The following is a 3,541-nucleotide window of genomic DNA, read 5'->3' on the forward strand; positions in this document are numbered from 1 at the left end:
GCAACCTCCACCTTCTGGGCTCAAGCAGTTGTCTCACTCACCCTCCCAAGTAGCTAGGACTATAGGCATGCGCCACCTCAACCGGCTAATTTTTGTATTTTTTTGTAGAGACAAGGTTATGCCATGTTGGCCAGGCTGGTCTTGAACTCCCGGCCTCAAGTGATCCACCCGCCTTGGCCTCCCAAAGTGCTGAGATTACAGGCGTGAGCCACCGCCTGAGAGCCAGGGTTTAAACCTGCCTCAGTAGAGACTAGTTTGAAATGACCCTTGAGTCCCATGCAAAAGTTTCCTGAAGCCAGTTAATGAGAATTTAGATCTGGACTATGTTGCTGGAAACAACTTTTCATAAGAGGCAAAGGATTGAGAATTGAGGACAACTGATGAAATCCTTAAGCAGCACAGATGAGAAGTCCTTGCATAACTCCATCAGTCTAGGATCCTGGATAAAATTTAACCTGGAACTGTGTATGTAAATATATAGTTTTTGGCTTTTGTAAAGAGGGTTTTGCTCTATTGTCCAGGTTGGAGAGCAGTGGCATGGTCATAGCTCACTGTAGCCACAAACTCCTCTGCTCAAGTCTCAGCCTCCCAAGTAGCTCGGACTACAGCTGTGTGCCACCATGCCCAGCAACGTCAAATTTTTTTTTTTTTTTTGTAGAGTCTATGTTGCCCAGTCTGGTCTCAAACTCCTGGCCTCAAGCCAATCCTCCTGCCTCAGCCTCCTGAAGTGTGTGTTTACAGGCATGAGCCACTGTGCCTGGCCCCAATTTCCTTTTTTCTTTTTTTCCCATTTTTCAGAAATTGAGGTGGGATTGTCTTCCCAAACAATACAATGATGTTCATAATAAGAATCTTCTGACAGACCTACTCACTCTGATTTTAATAACCTAAGAAATCTAATCAGAGACAAATAGAGATAGAACCAGGAGAGGCTAAGTCATGAACAGCACTGGAAAATGAGCTTCCGAGACTCCCAGTCTGACCCTTTTTTCTCTTTTGTAACTTTTTTTCCCTACCTCTCATCCTACCTCATCTTGCCCCCTTGCTTTGCCTTGTGTTTTATTTTATAAAAGACACCACCTCAGCTATACTCCTCTTTTCTTTTTCTTTTGTTTTAGAGCTGGGGTCTTGTTACGTTGCCCAGGCTGGACTGGAACTCCTGGGCTCAAGCCATCCTCCGACCTCAGCCTCCCCAGTAGCTGGGACTACAGGCACGCACCACTGCACTGGCTACATCTTCATTTTTGTGTTGTGGTACAAAAATGTACTTGACACTCTGTCCTAAAAACACTGGGAAGAAATAATTTGTTTATAAGCTGGACCATCCAGAAATAATGCAGTTCTGTTTGAACATCTCTATTCACCTTCGTTTAAAGCTACATTCTAGCTCTGGGCCTTTCATGTGAGTCAAATTTGCCTTTTAAGTTACTTCAAATAGGGCTTCTGAAACCCACGTCTCTTGACAACTATGGTCTCTGCAACTTATCTGACCTTAAAACACTTGCCTGGGTAATGTCCTTATAAGAGTTCTTCCTTTCTGGCCGGGCGCGGTGGCTTACACCTGGAATCCCAGCACTTTGGGAGGCCGAGGTGGGTGGATCACTTGAGGTCAGGAGTTTGATACCAGCCTGGCCAACGTGGTGAAACCCTGCCTCTACTAAAAATACAAAAATTAGCTGGACCTGGTAGTGCATGCCTGTAATCCCAGCTACTTGGGAGGCTGAGGCAGGAGAATCTCTTGAACCTGGGAGGTGGAGGTTGCAGTGAGCTGAGATCGCACCATTGCATTCCGGCCTGGGGGACAAGAGTGAAACTCCATCTCAAAAAAAAAAAAAAAAAAAAGAGTTCTTCCTTTCCAAGTATACCTGAGTTCCCATAAGACAGAAAGTCATTTTGTTGCTGTTAATTTTTTGAGTAAGGGTCTCACAGTGTCGCCCAGGCTGGAGTGCAGTGGTATGATCACGGATCACTGCAGCCTCCACCTCCCAGGGTCAAGCAATCCTCTTACCTCAGTCTCCCGAGTTGCTGGGATTACAAGTGCATGCCACCGTGCCCAGCTAATTTAAATTTTTTTTATTTTTATTTTTTTTAGAGAAAAGGTCTTGCTATGTTGCCCAGGCTGGTCTTGAATTCCTAGGCTTAAGTGGTCCTCTGGCCTTGGCCTTGGCCTCCCAAAGTGCTGGGATAACAGGTGTGAGCTACTGTGCCCAGAAACTCATTTTTTATTCCATGCCAAGTCTCAGTATCTCTGGAAAGAGGAAACATTCTTCACTTTAAAACACCTACAGATTATTATTGTCATAGAGTAGGATACAGAAACCCACTTAAGCTCACATAGGTAAGAGAGAAATGACTTGCTGTGAATCAGTAACGAATGAGTATCTGGTGGAACACAAGGGTAGAAATCCCAGCTGGCCCTCCTGAGGAACTAGGAACAGGAACCAGAAACCCATAGGAACCAAAGTGGTTACTTTAGTTTCCTGTCTAAACTTCTGAAGGAAATTAATAATTAGAAGTGAAAATGTGGTTGGCTGAGTAATATGAGTGTCTACTTCTGGTCCCATCAAGGGGATGGGGACCCATCCCCCAGCCTTGAATGGGAAAGGGATCATAGGGAAAGCAGTTTCCCCAGGGAGATGCTGTAATTGCATACTGCATGTATATTTAAATGTCTTCATTAATGAACTAAAAGCCCTCTGAAGGAAGGCACTTCTGCATTTCTCAGGGTGCCCTGCATTAGGCTGGGCCACAGGGAGGGCGAAGTGGATTCAGTATGGCTTATCATGCTGTGCCTGCATGCACAACTATAGCCATGCTATAATGAAGATAGTATAGGCCAGGCACAGTGGCCCATGCCTGTAATCCTAGCACTTTGGGAGGCCAAGGTGGGCGGCTCACCTGAGGTCAGGAGTTTGAAACCAGCCTGGCCAACATGGGAAAACCCCATCTCTACTAAAAGTACAAAAAAAAAAAAAATTAGCTGGGTGTTGTGTCATGCACCTGTAATGCCAGCTACTCGGGAGGCTGAGGCAAGAGAATTGCTTGAGTCTGGGAGGTGGAGGTTTCAGTGAGCTGAGATCGTGCCACTGCATTCCAGCCTGGGCGACAGTGGGACTCCGTCTCAAAAAAAAAAAAAAAAAGTAGAGGTCCCATAACCAGTTTCCCCTATTATTAACATTACATGTTTATATGCGACAGTTGTTACAATTAATGAACCAATATTGGTACGTTATTATTGAAGTTCTTATGCTAGTTTCTTAGTTTTTGCCTGTTGTCTTTTTTCTTTTTTTTTGGAGACGGAGTCTCAGCTCAATCTCAGCACACTGCAACCTCCCCCTCCTGGGTTTACGCCATTCTCCTGCCTCAGTCTCCCGAGTAGCTAGGACTACAGGCACCCGCCACCACGCCCGGCTAATTTTTTGTATTTTTAGTAGAGATGGGGTTTCACCATGCTGGCCAGGCTGGTCTTGAACTCCTGACCTCGTGATCCACCCGCCTTGGCCTCCCAAAGTGCTGGGATTACAGGCATGAGCCACCGCAC

The 3,541-nt window shown here is 45.7% G+C and overlaps 2 annotated features.

Annotated features, from left to right (window-relative positions):
* Positions 1-50: an enhancer, noted in NCBI's record as "active region_11040". NCBI's record gives its function as "activates an Ori minimal core promoter by ATAC-STARR-seq in GM12878 lymphoblastoid cells {active_cell/tissue: GM12878}" and the evidence as "EXISTENCE:reporter gene assay evidence [ECO:0000049][PMID:35858748]".
* Positions 2,813-2,982: an enhancer, noted in NCBI's record as "active region_11041". NCBI's record gives its function as "activates an Ori minimal core promoter by ATAC-STARR-seq in GM12878 lymphoblastoid cells {active_cell/tissue: GM12878}" and the evidence as "EXISTENCE:reporter gene assay evidence [ECO:0000049][PMID:35858748]".

This window comes from Homo sapiens, chromosome 16 (genome assembly GCF_000001405.40).
Source record: "Homo sapiens chromosome 16, GRCh38.p14 Primary Assembly".
Lineage (NCBI taxonomy): Eukaryota > Metazoa > Chordata > Mammalia > Primates > Hominidae > Homo > Homo sapiens.